Source organism: Homo sapiens, chromosome 19, assembly GCF_000001405.40.
Source record: "Homo sapiens chromosome 19, GRCh38.p14 Primary Assembly".
Lineage (NCBI taxonomy): Eukaryota > Metazoa > Chordata > Mammalia > Primates > Hominidae > Homo > Homo sapiens.
Window position 1 is genome coordinate 16549837 of NC_000019.10, and position 18576 is coordinate 16568412.

The 18576-nt window shown below is 48.9% G+C and overlaps 1 protein-coding gene across 1 annotated transcript in view; it reads right to left on the reverse strand.

Moving 5' to 3' along the window:
* SLC35E1 (solute carrier family 35 member E1) overlaps positions 1-18576 on the reverse strand; it is a 22579-nt gene continuing 4003 nt past the window's right edge. Inside the window, exons 3-6 of the mRNA NM_024881.5 lie at positions 18196-18333; positions 16696-16821; positions 5316-5561; positions 1-4073 (exon numbers count right to left, since the gene is read on the reverse strand). Coding sequence (NP_079157.3) covers positions 3843-4073; positions 5316-5561; positions 16696-16821; positions 18196-18333 — 741 coding nt within the window. The 3' untranslated portion in view covers positions 1-3842. The remainder of the gene's footprint in view (positions 4074-5315; positions 5562-16695; positions 16822-18195; positions 18334-18576) is intronic.

Sequence of the window (18576 nt, forward strand, 5' to 3'; positions counted from 1 at the left end):
TTCCCTGGAAACCATCATTTATTTTTGGTAAATGCCAGTGAGGAATATACACGTCATTCCTGCAGAAAAGTCTATAGCATTTAAGTCTTGAAAACAGGTGACAATTGAAAAACATTATAATATTTTCAGGTCTTTTAATAATTCAATGCTCTGTGTCCTTCAGGCTGTGAGACCCTAAGGTATTGGGGTCTGGTAATGTCCCAGCTATAGCAAAGGGCCTGTTGGGTGACATAGGACAAATATACAGCAAAATTCAGAAACTGCAAGTGCTTCCTCACTTGAACGGATCTGGCCCCTTTGTGGTAGGGGCTTGACTGTTCCTAGAATGAATGACTTAAAATAAGGTGGTTAAAAATTCTGCAGTGAGTCTCGCCATGGTGAACAAACATGATTCAGAAATGCCTCCTTCTATAAAATGAAGGAGCTGGGTTGGAGTCAGTATTACCAGCCAGACCATACCCTGATGGGTAAAGGAAATTCTCTACCACAGAGCTCAGCAGTGAGGTGGCTGAGAGGAAGGCAGGCCTGCAGATGAAAGCGTGGGAGTGGAGCATGTGGGGCGGGCACTGTCCGGCTGGGAAAACCCAGCCTTCAAGAGGCCATTGTCAATCAGGCTGGGCACGGTGGCTCATGCCTGTCATCCTAGCACTTTGGGAGGCCAAGGTGGGCGGATCATTTGAGGCCAGGAGTTCGAGACCAGCCTGGCCAACATGGTGAAACCCTGTCTCTACTAAAAACACAAAAAATTAGCCAGCCGTGGTGGTGCATGCCTGTAATCCCAGCTACTCGGGAGGCTGAGGCACGAGAATCACCTGAACCCGGGGGATGGAGGTTGTAGTGAGCTGAGACTGCGCCACTGCACTCCAGCCTGAGCAACAAAGCAAGACTCCATCTTGGCAGGGGGCGGGGGGATGTGGACCTTCAAGTCTCAGAAATATGTGTTTGTCTTTTGATCTGCTGATTTGGTGTAACGTGATTGCCTCATTCATTCCAGTGTACGTACTTGCTGTAAATTTATATACAGAATTAAATAGCCCATTTATTAATTTATAAACCATAATAAAACCAGACAGTCATTTCCCGTCACCAGCAGATCTTGCATTGGAAAAGGAAAATAATATACAAATTTCAGCAACTTCAGAGATTTCAGGAAGCCTGAATGGAGGTCGAATTCATTTTGGAGTTCAATAATATGTTCAAAGAATCAGGTACTATATATAATCATATAGACAACTCCCGTAATATCTCCGCAGTGCAAAATTATCCCTGTTTCTTGTCATTCACCAGTGAGAAAAATCCAACTGCAGACTTGACTGCCTTCGGTGAAGGCACACGGCAAGTTCTTCTGACAAATAACACCCTTTGGGATTGACTCTTCACGTTTTACACAGCAATTGTCTCAGCTTGGGACCAAAGTATTTACAAAGCAAGCGAACAAGAGACGAAGCAAGAGGGACACTTCTGAGGCCGGTGGTGCGGAAACTCACCGCCAAACAGGGTGGGGGGCCAGTCACCTCTTCAGGAGTGTCCCATGTGTCAGCTGACATAACATCTTAAATACAGAATTCCAATTGAAAGAAAAACAAACAACAACAAAAGAAACACCAGTCAAGCATAAGTGATGTTACTTCCTCTCTGAACAGGGAAACATCTCGCTCGCTGGGAGATAAAAGGTAAATCTCTCATTTGCTGCTCTCTTCCCCTAAGTGCCAGCAAGAAGCTGGGTGTGGTGATGAAGAAAGAAGGCAGCCATCACCTAAGACCCCACAAGCCAAGCCGTGGTCCCCTCCGTGAGGGCACGGTCCTTTCATGAAGCCGTAAAAGAGACCACAGCTCGGACCTGAGCACTCAGGGTTACCTACTGGGGTCTTGTCATATTCCTTATGTTGATTTCTGCCAAGACCCAAACTGATTCCTTTTTTTTTTTTTTTTTTTTGAGACAGAGTCTCACTCTGTCACCAAGGCTGGAGTGCAGTGGTGTGATCTCAGCTCGCTGAAACCTCCACCTCCTGGGCTCAAGTGATTCTCCTGCCTCAGCCTCCCAAGTAGCTGGGATTACAGGCAGGTGCCACCATGCCTGGCTAATTTTTGTTTTAGTAGAGATGGGGTTTCACCATGTTGGCCAGGGTGGTCTCAAACTCCAGTGATCCACCCACCTCAGCCTCCCAAAGTGCTGAGATTACAGGCATGAGCCACCACGCCTGGCCCCAAACTGACTCTTGACCAAAGAATCTGATTTGGCAAACCAAATCTTAGTGCAGTGTTCGCTCCTCGTCCCCTTACCCAGAACATGATTCAGATCCTAACATAAACACAAAAACAGGTCAGGGAACCAAAACACTGTGGTCTTGTCTATTATACAAAATATTGAGATAATGTTCACGATTCATTCTGTTTTCAGCAATTGTGACAATTTTGAAGCTTCTCTCGAAGCTTCGAAACACTTCATTTCCTACTAAATACCAAAACGTGTCAGACAGGCATCACCAGTGGGAACTTGGTTTTGTTTTGTTTTTTTTTTTGAGATGGAGTCTCGCTCTGTTACCCAGGCTGGAGTGCACAATCTCGGCTCACCACAACTTCTGCCTCCCAGGTTCAAGCAATTCGCCTGCCTCAGCAGCCTGAGGAGCTGGGACTACAGGCACGCGACACCATGCCCGGCTAATTTCTGTATTTTTAGTAGAGATGGGGTTTCACTATGTTGGCCAGGCTGGTCTCGAACTCCTGACCTCGTGATCCGCCCATCTTGGCCTCCCAAAGTGCTGGGATTACAGGTGTGAGCCACTGTGCCTGGCCGGGGAACTTTGTTTTTAAACGTTTACAAACAAAAAGATTTTCGATGCATAGGCCAGTCCTAATGCATCCCATAATGGGGACCAAGGCAAAAACACACACACACAACTACAAAATATTCCCTAGAAAAATGCAAGATCCTCCGAAAATCAAGATCTCTCTACCAAACAACATACCAAGTCATCACAGAAGAGGTGAAGATGCCTCTCAAAAGACATGTGCCACAGAAATAGAGCTTGAAATACTGAACACGATTTCTCGAAGATCCTTCTCACCACCCCAAGAGAAGCGCCCTGCTCTGGTGAGGGAAGAGGAGGCAAAGGAGAAGAGAGAAGTTTCCCTTCCATCTGGATCTGGGTGGATGCCAACCCTGACGTGCAGGGCAGAGCACCAGGCTGCAGGAACTGGATGCTAATTGCAATCGCTTTTTGCTTTGGAACATTTGCCAGGAACTTGTGAACTGCTAAGGGGATGACCAGGAAACTGGATCCATCTCTGTGGCTGGGGATGTTTTGAATGATTCTCGCGGGCTCCCTGTCTGCTTGGTGACCCTGTTGGTCCTATGCGTATCTGCGCCAGGGAATTAAACTAGCCAGTCTGACGTTCTCAAGCACCGCCCTGGACACCCCCACTGCCAGTTCATGGTCTACAGCCACAGTGACCCCAGCTTTTCACACAGGTCCTGAATGTTATCTGGAATGCAGACACAAGTGCTCTGAGCTACACTGCTTGGGGAATAATTCCACATGGAAAGGTACAACGTGGCCAAGATCTCCGCAGGGACACGGCCCTCAGATGACAGACTCCAGGAAGAAAGAGCATGAGACACTGGTCTCTGTTTAGGTTTGCCCAGAGCTCACGGCCGTCTGCACTGCAGGCAACGCATCCTCCTGCGGCTCACGGGGGGCCAGGAACCCCAGGGCTTCTGATGGAGAGTTATGCACCGTCCCCTCGGCTGGGTTGTACATTCACTGATTGTCAGAAGTTTCTGATACTGCTGTGGGGGCCGGGGAAGGAGTCACCAACAGTCTGGTCCTGTCCTTTGGACTCTACACATCATAGCGGTTCAAACTGTACGAGTTTGGGTAGCTCTGCCGGCTGTATTGGAAGTGGTCTGTTAAGATGTTGTTGCGGCCGTACTGATAGTCCCCGTGCTGGGGGAAGAGGAGGCCGTTGTGGGGCTTCTCCAGTGGGCTCCGGTGACGCTCCTTGCTGCTCAGGTCTGCTGTGGTGACGGGGAGGAGGTGCTTCCTGGCTTGCTGGTTTGCATCGTACTTGGTCTGTGCCAGAAAGAGAGCAATGAGACAGGACATGCCCGGGGCATAAGAGCTCGTAATTCAAAGTCAATCAACTGGCTGGCTGCGGTGGCTCACACCTGTAATCCCAGCACTTTGGGAGGTCGAGGCGGGAGGATCACCTGAGCTCAGGAGTTTGAGACCAGCCTGGGCAACATGGCAAAACCCCGTCTCTACTAAAAATACAAAAAATTAACCGGGTGTGGTGGCGCATGCTGTAGTTCCAGCTACTCAGGCGTTCTGAGGCACAAGAATCACTTGAACCCAGGAGGCGGAGGTTGCAGTGAGCTGGGACCATACCACTGCACTCCAGCCTGGGAGACAGAGCAAGACGCTGTCTCAGAAAAAAAAAAAAAAAAAAAAAAAGTCAGTTAACCTCCGGGGCCGGCATAAGTCATAGGGCTTGAGCAAGGAAAGCAGACTTGAATGGACCAGACCACAGTGCATGGACAGACTCAGAAGACAAGTCCTTGGCCAGGCGCAGTGGCTTATGCCTGTAGTTCAAGTGCTTTGGGAGGCCTAGGCGGGAGGATCACTTGAGGCTAGGAGTTGGAGACCAGACTGGACAAAATAGAGAGACCCCATATCTACATGTGTTAAGAAACAAATGAAGAGGCCAGGTGTGGTGGCTCATGCCTGTAATCCCTACACTTTGGGAGGCCAAGGCAGGTGGATCAACTGAGGTCAGGAGTTGGAGGCTGGCCTGGCCAAGATGGTGAAACCCCATCTCTACTAAAAATACAAAAATTAGCCAGGTGTGGTAGGCGCCTGTAGTCCCAGCTACTCGGGAGGCTGAGGCAGGAGAATCGCTTGACCCCGGGAGGCGGAGGTTGCAGTAAGCTGGGATGGAGCGCCACTGCAATCCAGCCTGGGTGACAGAGCCAGACTCCATCTCGAAAAAAAAAAAAAAAAAAAAGAAAAGGAAAAGAAGGCAAGCCCTCCCTGTTGGCCATCCCATGTCCTTACACCGCACTAAACAGAGCCTTTGAGAGGAGGGAGGGAAAACCCCAGCTGAGACACAGCCGGAATGATTTGAGGACCTGAGGTTGCCTATGCAGGAAAAAGGAAGCCAGAGTGGGATGGGGCTACGCCAAGATCATAAACCAGTCAGTGGCAAAGCTCTGACATACAACCCCAGCCTTGAGCGCCCGGGAGGCCCTTCCTTTTCTGACTTCCTGGGTGTTGGGGGGCCGGCTTCCTTCCCTGCCCAGCCTCTCAGACTCTCACCTTGTTATAGAGGAAGACCCCCAGGATGGCGGTCATCATGCCCAGGACGTTGGTGCTGGTGACTGGGTTGCGCAGCATGATCAGGGACACCGTGATGACCATGATTCTTTTGGTGGCATTGGCGACCGAGTAGCTCAGGGGGCTAACGAGGTTGAGGATGCTGAAGGCGATAACATTCTGGGCAAAGTTACAGAAGCCGCTGACAGCCAGGAGCAGGAGCGTCCAGGGCCACTGGTAGACGTAGGTCTGCAGAGACCGGAAGGTAAAGACAGCACTTCAGTGGGCAGCGGTGACCCTGCCTCCCTGTATCCACCTGGCAGGGTTAGGGGAAGGGATGTGGAGGGGCTCATCTGGAGCCTCATGGTCCACAGGCAGCCAGTCCAGATGTGTCACCAAGAGACACTAGGTGCTTTAGGTCCATGACCTCAGAACCTCATGACACCACACAGCATGGGAATCACCCGCCGTCTCCTGCCAAGGAAACAGGTGAAGCCAGGTCCCCAAAGGGCACCAAGCAAGACGTAAGCCAAAGCCTTCCCTGGCAGTGAACAGCCAGGAACCCTGGGTTTGGCAAAGCAGGGATCTGCTTGTTGGACGCAATGCATTCTACAGGGTTGGAGGTCCTGGGAAGGTGGCTCTGAGCCTGCGAAGTACCTGGTAATACGAAAGCCACGGGTCTGCACCTATTGCTGCGAGGATGAACAGAATCATGGCTTTTGAAGTGCTTTACAACAATCTCAAGCCAAACAAACACAAGAGGTGACGTTACCATCAACAGCTGAGGCCAGGTGCAGTGGCTCACACCTGTAATCCCAGCACTTTGGGAGGCCGATGCAGCTGGATCATCTGAGGTCAGGAGTTCAAGACCAGCCTGACCAACATGGTAAAACTGTGTCTCTATTAAAAATACAAAATTGGTCGGGTGTGGTGTGGTGTGGTGGCGCATGCCTGTAATCCCAGCTGAGGCAGGACAATCTCTTGAACCTGGGAGGTGGAGGTTGCAGTGAGCTGAGATTGCACCACTGCACTCCAGCCAGGGCAACAGAGCGAGACTCTGTCTCAAAAAAACAAACAAAAAAACCAGTTTAGGTTGGGCGTGGTGGCTCATGCCTGTAATCCCAGCACTCTGGGAGGCTAAGGAAAAAAAATCATTCGAGGGCAGCCTGGGCAACACAGTGAGACCCTGTCTCTACAAAAAAAAAAAAAAATTAGCCAGGCATGGTGGTGCACACCTGTGGTCCCAGCTACCTGGGAGGCTGAGGTGGGAGGATCGCTTGAGCCTAGGAGTTCAAGGCTACAGTGAGCTACGATGGCGCCATAGCACCCCAGCCTGGGCGACAGTGTAAGACACTGTTTCAAAAAAACCCCACAAAACTTTACCATCTGACCCTGACCAGAATGAGGCCATTCTGACTAAGGGATCCAGAAATTAAGAAATCACAACTAGCAGACATCGGGACCATGGAATCCCCCAAAGAGCCTAGGCTGGTCCCAGGACAGGCAGACAGGTGAGAACCAGGTAGACACTGCCCTGTAGGCCAATTTCCAGGCCACGCTGACCTTGGCCACAGGAGGACAGAGCTGGCTCAGCCCAGGGTGACCGTGATTGGCGGCCCTGCTGGAGCTGCAGGATGTCTACCTGACTCCATCTCCACTGCACTCCAAGAGAGAAGGATCACACGGTCCTCTCAAATGCAAGAAGACACGCTTAGGCGACCAGCTCAATGTCAACCAACTCAAGACTGGAACTCCCAAATGCAAATCCATTTACCTGTGCCATACACCCTGCAGCTTCTGCGGGGAACCTCACTGGAGGAATAGCCCCTGTAATATATATGAGCCCACCAGGATGCCTTCATGTTGGGCCAGCCTGTTCTCCCAGGGGTCGCTCCCTAAGGTGATCGGTTAGGATTTCCATGCTATTTTCTTCCTGCTTGCATAGATATCTATCTTCTGGGAAGGGAACCCAACCAATCTGGTTTAAAACAAAAAAAAAGATACATAATAAAATGGACTGATTTGGCAGCACGGTGCACAATTCCAGGCATTTTTTTTTTTTTGAGACAGAGTTTTGCTCTGTCGCCCAGGCTGGAGTGCAGTGGCGCGATCTCTGCTCACTGCAAGCTCCGCCTCCTGGGTTCACGCCATTCTCCTGCCTCAGCCTCCCGAGTAGCCGGGACTACAGGCGCCCGCCACCGCGCCCGGCTAATTTTTTGTATTTTTAGTAGAGACGGGGTTTCACCGTGTTAGCCAGGATGGTCTCGATCTCCTGACCTCGTGATCCACCTGCCTCGGCCTCCCAAAGTGCTGGGATTACTGGCATGAGCCACCACGCCTGGCCAATTCCAGGCATTTTAACAAATGCATCAATTCATGGAACCACCATGACCATCAGGGATTAGGACACTCCTGGGGGGCTTCTCTTTTGTCCTAACCCCCTCCTCCTAAACCTGGCAACCATCCATGTTTTCTGTCATGATCCGTGTGTCCTTGGGAGACTGTCATGGAGCTGGAATCACATGGCTGGGAACCTTTGGAGACAGGCTGCTTTCACTCAGTGTGGCAACTCTGCCATTCATCCATGTTGTGAGGGACAAGAGTTGGTACCTTTTCATTGCTGAGTAATGCTCCACTGTGTGTAACATTCCATGTACTGAAGTTTTTTGTTTTGTTTTGTTTTGAGACGGAGTCTTGCTCTGTCACCTAGGCTGCAGTGCAGTGGTGGGATCTCTGCTTACAGTAAGCTCCGCCTCCTGGGTTCACGCCATTCTCCTGCCTCAGCCTCCCGCATAGCTGGGACTACAGGCGCCCGCCACCATGCCCGGCTAATTGTTGTATTTTTAGTAGAGACAGGGTTTCATCGTGTTAGCCAGGATGGTGAAGTTTTTTTTTTGTTTTTGTTTTTTTTTGAGATAGAGTTTTGCTCTTGTCACCCTGGCTGGAGTGCAATGGTGCGATCTCAGCTCACTGCAACCTCTGCCTCCCGGGTTCAAGTGATTCTCCTGTTTCAGCCTCCCGAGTAGCTGGGATTACAGGCAACCACCACCATGCCCAGCTAATTTTTGTATTTTTAGTAGAGATGGGGTTTCACCATGTTGGCCAGGCTGGTCTCGAACTCCTGACCTCAGGTGATCCGCCCACCTTGGCCTCCCAAAGTGCTGGGACTACAGGTGTGAGCCACCACACCCGGCCTATTTTTTCTTGAGACGGAGTCTCACTCTGTCACCCAGGTTGGAGTGCAGTGGCACGATCTTGGCTCACTGCAACCTCTGCCTCCCAGGTTCAAGCAATTCACCTGCCTCAGCCTGCCAAGTAGCTGGGACTACAGGTGTGCCGCACCACACCTGGCTAATTTTTCTATTTTTAGTAGAGGAGGAGTTTCACTATATTGGGCAGGCTGGTCTCGAACTCCTGACCTCAAGTGATCCACCTGGCTCGGCCTTCCAAAGTGCTGGGATTGGATTATATGCATGAACCACTGCACCCAGCCATCTGTCCATTGTCTTCTGATCTAATTTCTCTCTGTTGTTTAAACTGGATAATGTAGACTGATTTATCTTCAAGTTATTGGCTCCTTCCTCTGTTACCTCCATTCCGCTTTTCAGTCCATCCCTTGAGTTTTTTTTTTTTTTTTTTGAGATGGACTCTCGCTCTGTCGCCCAGGCTGGAGTGCAACAGCATGGTCTTGGCTCACTGCAACCTCCGCCTCCCACGTTCAAGCAGTTCTCCTGCCTCAGCCTTCTGAGTAGCTGGGATTACAGGCACGTGCCACCACGCCCAGCTAATTTTTGTATTTTTAGTAGAGACGGGGTTTCTCCATGTTGGTCAGGCTGGTCTTGAACTCCTGACCTTGTGATCCATCTGCCTTGGCCTCCCAAAGTTCTGGGATTACAGGCATGAGCCACCACGCCCAGCCAATCCCGTGAGTTTTTAAGTTACTATCTTCCATTTAAAAATTTCTGGCCTCCAGCCTGGCCAACATGGTGAAACCCCATCTCTACTAAAAATATAAAAATTAGCCAGGCATGGTGGCAGGCGCCTGTAATCCCAGTTGCTCGGGAGGCTGAGGTAGGAGAATCACTTGAGCCTGGGAGGCAGAGGTTGCAGTGAGCCGAGATCCCGCCACTGCACTCCAGCCTGGGTGACAGAGCAAGACTCCGTCTAAGGGAAAAAAAAGAAAATTTCTAGCCAAGTTTGGTGGCTCATGTCTATAGTCCCAGCACTTTGGGAGGCTGAGGCGGGTGGATCACTTAAGCCCAGAAGTTTGAGACCAGACTGGGCAATATGGCAAAACCTTCTTTCTACAAAAAATACACACACACACACACACACACACACACACACACACAGAGTTAACCAGATATGCTGGTGTGAACGTGTAGTCCCAGCTACTCAAGAGGTTGAGGTGGGAGGATCACTGAGCCCAGAGAGGTTGAGGTGGCAGTGAGCTGTGATTGTACCACTGCACTCCAGCCTGAGCACAGAATGAGACCCTCTCTCAAAGGAATTTAAAAAATTTCCATTTGGTTCTTCACTCTATCTTCTATCTGTTCACATTTGTCTCCAGAGTCTTTACTTTGCTCCTTGGAGCACGATGGTAATCACTGCTTTAAAGTCTGTCTGATAATCCCAACATCTGTATCATTGCACTGTTGGCCCTTGTTGATTGTCTTTTCCCAACCACCTGGAATTTCCTGGGTCTTCGTAAACTACGTAATTTTGGCTGGAATCCCGGGCATTTCGCATATTATAAAAGTCTGGGTCTTATTTAAATCCTATGAAGAATGTTGATGTTTTGTTTTAGCAGGCAATTGATGATGCTGGGTTCAGGCTGCAGGCTTGACCAGCCTTCTGTGGGTTGTGGTTCCAATGTCAGTTATGTTTTCAAAGCCTTTCCAGTGGTATTTGGCTCTGTCCTGAGTCTGTGCCGCCTGTGGTCAGTCTGAAAGCCAAGCGGTGGTCTCTCCCACAGTTCTGTTCTTAGTCTTTGGTATGCTGTTTAAGATCTCATCCTCACATGTGTGACGCTCAGGGGCGAGCCTGGGATTCCATGGGCGACTTTATGAGGTCGCTGTCCTCAGCTCCTCCCTCCACACAATCTCCTGAGTACTTTCTAGTTTCCTAGTCCCTCCCTTTCATGGCCCTCCAGTCAGAAAGCTGAGGTTTAATCACCGTACTCTGCTGTTCACTTCCTGTGATTACACCCCCATTTGAGGGTCAAGCAGTGACAGTACAGAGAACAAGCTGCAAAAGGGCTCATCCCATCCTCTGAGGACTATATGTCCTCAAACAGCAGAGGAAGAGTCGCCCTTCTCAGGGTTTTAGGTGGCTGTGGAACCTGCTGCTGCTGCCACCAACGTAGGATTGTCAGGAGCCTGGGAAGCAAGAGATGAAGGCAAAAAAGAAAATAGAAAAAAACCTAACAGACAGCCGGGCGTGCCGGCTGGCGCCTGTAATCCCGGCACTTTGGGAGGCTGAGGCAGGGAGATGATCTGAGGTCAGGAGTTCGAGACCAGCCTGGCCAACATGGTGAAACCCCGTCTCTACTAAAAACACAAAAATTAGCCAGGAGTGGTGGTGCGCGCCTACAATTCCAGCTACTCAGGAAGCTGAGGTGGGAGAATCACTTGAACCTGGGAGGTGGAGGTTAGAGTAAGCTAAGATCGTGCCACTGCACTCCAGTCTGGGTGACAGAGTGAGACTCCATCTCAAAAACAAAAAAAAAAAACCAAAAAAAAAAAAAAAAAAAGAGAAAAAGCCTAACAGGCATCCAGGTGTGGTGGCTCACGCCTGTAATCCTATCTCTTTGGGAGGTCGAGGCAGGCAGATCACCTGAGGTCGGGAGTTCAAGACCAGCCTGGCCAACATGGTGAAACCCATCTCTACTAAAAAAAAAAAAAGAATACATAAAAATTAGCTGGGCATGATGGCATGTGCCTGTAATCCCAGCTATATGGGAGGCTGGGGCAGGACAATCTCTTGAACCCTGGAGGCAGAGGTTGCAGCGAGCTGAGATCACGCCACTGCGCTCCAGCCTGGGCAACAGATCAAGACTCCATCTCAAAAAAAAAAAAAAAAAAAAAAAAAAAAAAGAAAGAAAAGAAAAGAGAAAGCCTAACAGGGGATTTCCTCCATTCTCTCTGAGGGTTAGGAGTCTCCTTTCCCATTCTCCAGACTCCAAGCAGAGAACATCTCTGTTCTCATTCAGTGCCCACATCTACCTTCTGAGCTGCCTCATGTCCAGGCTGAAGACACAGGAGGAAGAAGAATGACGAACTCACTGGTGGCTCCAAGGCACTCTGAATTCTGGTCTTTCCTCCGCCCATCTGCCTGCTACCATTTATTTCTCGGTTCTCAAGTAGCTGCTTCATGCATTCTGTCCAAGTTTTGAAACCAGGCCACCTGCTCCAGAGTCTAGGAATCCCCGCCTGTCTTTTGCCAAGCCATTTGGCAACTGGGCCAGGCGTCTCTGGGAACTGCCCACTGCAGCCTTTGATTCTTGGTAGACTGGAGAGCAGCAGACACCAGCTGACATTCTCCCATCTCATCCTCTTCCCGCCTGTTCTGGAGAACAGGACTGCGACGGTGCTAACTAACCTGCTGTCTGTGTAGTCTATGTGGGAGACACAAGACAAAGAGGGGGAACCCAGACATGTGGGAACCCCATCTTCAGACTGCAACATTAGTGAATATGGTGTATGCCTAGGGCTGCTATTAAAATACACAAAGTCATGCTCATGTTAAAAAACATATGGGCCAAGTGTGGTGGCTCACAGCTGTAATCCCAGCACTTTGAGAGGCCAAGGCGGGAGGATGGCTTAAGGCCAGGAGTTCAAGACCAACCTAGGCAACAGTGGGAGACAGTCTCTACGAAAAAAAAGAACCAACCAAACAAAACACCACCAAACATAACATACATAGCCTCAACTAAAAAAAAAAGGTTACTTAAGGTATTACAACAACAAAAAAGATAATGACTAGAACAACAATAACAACACAAAATGTCCTAAGTGCAAGAAAAGCAAAGACAAAAAAACACAGCAAAAGCCTGTATGTTTCTGTCCATGTGTGGACACATACATACTCTAATGAGCTGTAACACAGAACAGCAGAGGAACTGACAGGAAACCCACTGACACTATTACACAGCCGTACAAGAAATGAGAAAGGCCTTCTATGTCGTTATGAAGAGCTCTCTGGGACGATGAGATGAAATGAACAAGGTGCAGAATAGTTCAGCTCCCCTTCAGTATCCACGGAGGACTGGTTCTAGGGACCCCTGCGGATGCCAAAATCTACAGATATTCAAGTCCCTTTTATAAAATGGTTTAGTATTTGCATGTAATCCATGCACATCCTCCCATATACTTGAAATCATCGCTAGATTACTTGTAATCCCTAATACAATAAAACTGCTATACAAATAATTGTTATACTGTATTATTTTAAAATGTCTTATTCTTTATTATAGTATTTTGTTTTTCTACCATATATTTTCAATTCGCAGTTGGCTGAATCCACTAGTGTGGAACCCACAGATATGGAAGGATGACTGTATGTTTATATTTATTTTTGAGATAGGGTCTTGCTCTGTCATGCTGGCTGGGGTGCAGTGGCTCAAACATGGCTCACTGCAGCTTTGACCTTCCCGGGCTCAAGTGATCTTCCCACCTCAGGCTCCCAAGTAGCTCGGACTACAGGCATGTGCCACCATGCCGGGTTAATTTTTGGTTTTGTTTTACGTAGAGACGGGGTTTCACCATGTTGACCAGGCTGGTCTCAAACTCCTGAGGCTAAAGCAGTCTGCCTGCCTCTGCCTTCCAAAATACTGGGATTACATGTGTGAGGCACTGTGCCTGACCTGTAAATTTAAAAAGCTACTTTTTGGGCTGGGCGTGGTCGCTTACGCCTATAATTCCAGCACTTTGGGAGGCCGAAGTGGGTGGATCACCTAATGTCAGGAGTTTGAGACTAGCCTGGCCAAAATGGAGAAACCCCACCTCTAGTAAAAACACACAAAAAATTAGCTGGGCGCGGTGGTGGGTGTCTGTAGTCCCAGCTACTCGGGAGGCTGAGGCAGGAGAACTGCTTGAATCCGGGAGGCGGAGGCTGCAGTGAGCCGAGAACATGCCATTGCATTCTAGCCTAGGAGACAGAAAAACTCCGTCTCAAAAAATAAAATAAAATAAAATAAAATAATAAAATAAAAAGCTACTCTGTGTGTAATAAGGACAGAGGGTGATTATACATGCAAATTTGCTTATATTTGCAAAAATATGGAACAGGTGAACTAGGAGCCTAAGAAATGTTATCCATGGTCAGGGAGGGGACAGGGAGAGTACAGGAATCATGACCAGACTTCTTCTTTTTTTTTATTTTTATGAGACAGTCTCACTTTGTCACCCAGGTTGGAGTGCAGTGTCGTGATCTCAGCTCACTGCAACCTCCACCTACCTAGTAGCTAGGATTATAGGCGTACGCCACCACACCAGATAATTTTTATATTTTTTCTAGAGATGGGGTTTCCCCACGTTGGCCAGGCTGGTTTCGAACTCCTGGCCTCAAGGGATCCACCTACCTCGGTCTCCTAAAGTGCTGGGATTCCAGGTGTGAGCCACCACACCCAGCCTGCAAAGAAATACTAACCTTTTCTCAGCACTCCAGTTGCAATTGTGCTGTGAGAATGCTCATTCTGAAGCAATTATATGAGTGAGTGTACAGTAGAATAACATCAGTGAATAACGGGTAGAATAAGCAACTAAGAAACGAGGAGCGGAACCAAGCATACCAGCGACGAGATCTAAATATGAAATTCAAAACAGCAAAGATCTGGACTGTTCAACTGAAAGTGACGCTAATTGCTAGGAACTCTTTGCTGCTGCCCCAAGTGTGTACTTCCTAATTTTTCACAGTAAAGGCCTAACAACAATGACCACCCAGCAGCAAAAAGCACCCATGGCACCTGGATTGTGTCTCTAAATACCGCTCCCCACTAACGGCACCTGGAGTCCTGAAGGAGGGGCTGACTGCAGCTCTGGGATGGGAAGTACACAAGGTGAAGGCGGGCATCCCGCTGGGAGAAACGCTGACCCACAGTGCTAGAAGGGCAAGGAGCCAATCAGAAGGGCTCCAATGGCTAAGACAGGACAATTTTTTTTTCTTCTTTTTTTTTAAGATGGAGTCTCGCTCTGTCGCCCAGGCTGGAGTGCAGTGGTACGATCTCAGCTCACCGCAACCTCCGCCTTCCAGGTTCAAGCAATTCTCCTGCCTCAGCCTCCTGAGTAGCTGGGATTACAGGCGTGCACCACCATGCCTGGCAAATTTTTGTATTTTCTGTAGAGATGGGGTTTCACCACGTTGGCCAGGCTGGTCTTGAACTCCTGACCTCAAGTGATCTGCCCACCTCGGCCTCCCAAAGTGCTGGGATTACAGGCTGGAGCCACTGCGCCTGGCCAAGACAGGACAATTTGACTAGGAAAACGAATAATTCATGCAACTGACAAACACATAAAAGTTCACAATGATGCTGGAGAAAAAAAGAGAACCCCTTCCCTACCCCCAAACAAACCCTCAACTCTGGTCAACATTTGGAGTAAGCTCCAACTCTCTATCCTGAAAATTAGTCATCAAAAGGAACAGTTAAGCATTAAACTGCCTTTCTCGTACCATACTTCAAGGTAACAAACTAGTCCTGGAAGATGGAAAGTTCTTCACAGAAGAATTACAGCTCATCAATGTGAAACGAAAGTTAGAAAAGTGAGCCATGGTTTACTGATTGGGAAAATAGAGGTAATATCCACTACTTCAGCAGGTGGAGCCAAGGATTAAAGATAAGAAATGTCACAAATCCAGCTAGACCACATTAAGACCTCAATAAATATTTACTTTTCCTTTCTAACTCGAGTCTGGAAGAATCGCACTGGCCTCCTCCTCACCGCAGGCACTTGCATTCATTTATAACACATTCTCTGAAGGCAGACCCTGCAGGTGGCAAAAAGATTCGACGTGGAGTAAATGGAAACAGAGACCAGGGAGGAACTGAGCTGCACAGTTTTCTTTCTTTCTTTTTTTTTTTTGAGACGGAGCTTCACACTTGTTGCCCAGGCTGGAGTGCAGTGGTGCGATCTCGGCTCACTGCAAACTCTGCCTCCTGGGTTCAAGCGATTCTCCCACCTCAGCCTCCCAAGTGGCTGGGATTACAGGCGTGCACCACCACGCCTGGCTAATTTTGTATTTTTAGTAGAGACAGGATTTCACCATATTGGTCAGGCTGGTCTCGAACTCCTGACCTCAAATGATTCACACACCTTGGCCTCCCAAAGTGCTGGGATTATAGGCGTAAGCCACCACACCCAGGCAGCGCATGTTTTTTTCTTTTTTTTTTGACACGGAGTCTCCCTCTGTCACCCAGGCTGGAGTGCAGTGGCACCATCTCGGCTCACTGCAACCGCCACATCCTGGGTTCAAGCAATTCTTCTGCCTCAGCCTCCCAAGTAGCTGGGACTACAGGTGCGAGCCACCATGCCTGGCTAATTTTTGTATTTTTGGGAGAAACAGGGTGTCACCATATTGGCCAGGCTGGTCTCAAACTCCTGACCTCGTGATCCGCCCGCCTTGGCCTCCCAGAGTGCTGGGATTACAGGCGTGAGCCACTGCGCCCGGCTTTTTTTTTTTTTTTTTTTTTTTTTGGCCAGTGCATAGTTTTCAAAGTTCCAGGGCTGGCAAGGCACAGTGGCTCACATCTGTAATCCCAGCACTTTGGGAGGCCAAGGCAGATCTCTTAACGCCAGGAGTTCAGGACCAGCCTGGGCAACATAGTGAGACCCTGTCTCTCCAAAAACAGTAAAAAAACAAAAATCAAACAAAAAAAAATTAGCCAGGCATGGTGGTATTCGCCTGCAGTCCCAGTTACTCGGGAGGCTGTGGGAGGATCGCTTGAGCCCCGGATTGAGGTCAAGGCTGCAGTGAGCCATGATTGTGCCACTGCACTCCAGCCCTGGCAACAGAGCGAGGTTCTGTCTCTAAAAAATAAACATTTAAAATAAAAAATGAGTAAAAATAAAAAGTCAATGTGCTATCTGGACTATACTGTCAGGAGGTGAAAGAGTCACCTTCTCTTCCTTGACGCTACTGGCGCACACACAGCAGCTATCAGCACCTGGGATCAAGCACACCAGAGAAGGAAATACACAGGAAACCCACTTCCTCGATGGCGTGCATCGTCACCGTGAGGCATTACAGAGGACTGACTGCTGAAAGCGCTGGCTGTCAGGTGCCCAAAAGATACCACAATGTTAACATGCAGCTACAGCTCCTCAACAAAGCACCTATTCTGGAACTAGCCAAGAAAATGGCGTGTTCTTGGTGCTGTACAACTCACCAAGTCGCTGCTGACCAGGAAAGCCGAGAGGTCCACCAGAACCCAGGTGGGGATCATAAAGAAGACGGCGTGGCAGCCCAGGATGTTGAGCAGCCGGAGATGGTGGATCCGTGAATCTCGCAAGACCTGGAAAGGGAAAGCCTCTTTAGAGGGTGATTAAAACTATATGTGGCAAAAAGGGCTCCAGTGACTCAGGCCCCAAACACAGTGACTGGACATTAACCCTGACATCTGAGCTTGGACACCAAACCTGCAAGTGCATTTGTGAGGACATACACAGCACAGGCCTGAAACAAGCACCATGCTCCACGCATAAACGACTGAGAAAAGAAAACAAAAATAAAACAGTAACACTCAGTGCTGGTGAGGATGAAGTGAAGTAGGCACTCTGAAATTCCACTGGTTTGAGGCTGAATTGGTATAACCTTTCTAAAATACGACCAGACAAACCATATTAAGAGTGATTAACGTTTCATACCCTCTAACCTGAGAACTGTAAGCCTATCATAATGAAATAACTGAGACAGGAAAACATCACACACGTGATTGTTTCTACATTACAATGAAAAGTTGGAAATAAGTGGTATTTCCAATAGAGAGACTGCATTAACTGTGGTACCTGAAAAGTGTGTGATTATCACAGGAGTTAAGAGCAATTTTTTTTTTTGAGACGGGGTCTCACTCTATTCCTATTGCCTAGGCTGGTCTCGAACTCCTAGCCTCAAGTGATCCTCCTGCCTTGGCCTCCCAAAGTGCTGGGATTATAGATGTGAGCCACTGCACTAGGCTTCAACAAGTTTTAAAATCTTGTTTTAAATTGAAGTTTTTAGCTAGGCCTGGTGGCTAATGCCTGTAATCCCAGTGCTTTATGAGGCTGAGGTGTGAGGATCACTTGAGCTTCGAAGACTGAGGCTGCAGTAAGCTATGATTGTGCCACTGCACTCCAGCCTGGGCGACAGTGAGCCTTGGTCTCAATAAAAGAGCTTTTCTTTATTTTTTTCTTATTGAGCACATTAACTTTATAATAGAAAAACTTTTTTTTGTTTTTGAGATGGAGACTCACTCTTGCCCAGGTTGGAGTGCAGTGATGCAAAATCTCAGCTCACTGCAAGCCCCGCTTCCTGGGTTCAAGCAATTCTTGTGCCTCAGTGTCTGGAGTAGCTGGGATTACAGATGCGTGCCTGGCTAATTTTTATGTTTTTAGTAGAGATGGGGTTTTGCCATATTGGTCAGGCTGGTGTTGAACTCCTGGCCTCAAGTGAACCGCCCGCCTTGGCCTCCCAAAGTGCTGGGATTATAGGCATGAGCCACTGCGCCCGGCCAGAAAAACAAACTATTTAAAAAGCAAAATGACAAACAGAAAATCAGCAGAATGGCAATCAAGATTTTTCTGCTCTAATAGCAAAGAAATTTCTACTCCGCCTGTTTTCCCAATGCCACCAGTTTGCTGCCCGCACACCCCTGAAACCCCATGCATGTCCGCTGATGGTGACCAAATACCTTTTTGGAGAAAATGTTCTGAAGCGAGAAGCACAGCGTGGCGGCGAGGGCGCTGACGAGTCCCCACATGTCAAAAGACAACTCGGTGACGGTGGCCAGCAGGACACCGCTGATGATGGGGATGAGTGACAAGTATACCTGCAGGAAGAGGTCATCAAGAAGGGCTCACAGGCCAGACTAGAGCTGGGCCACATGCCACAGATGCCCAGGGAAGAGCCCCTCTCCTCCCTCAGCAAAGGGATACCACCTAACACTTTGAAAGTGGTGTTTGCTGTGCCAGTGACGCTCTGGTGGGTGGCTGGGGGCAGGTGGTTATCAGAGCGCCAGGGGCAGGGCTTATTTGTGGGTAGCCCCATCCCCATACCGTCACCCCCATTAAGA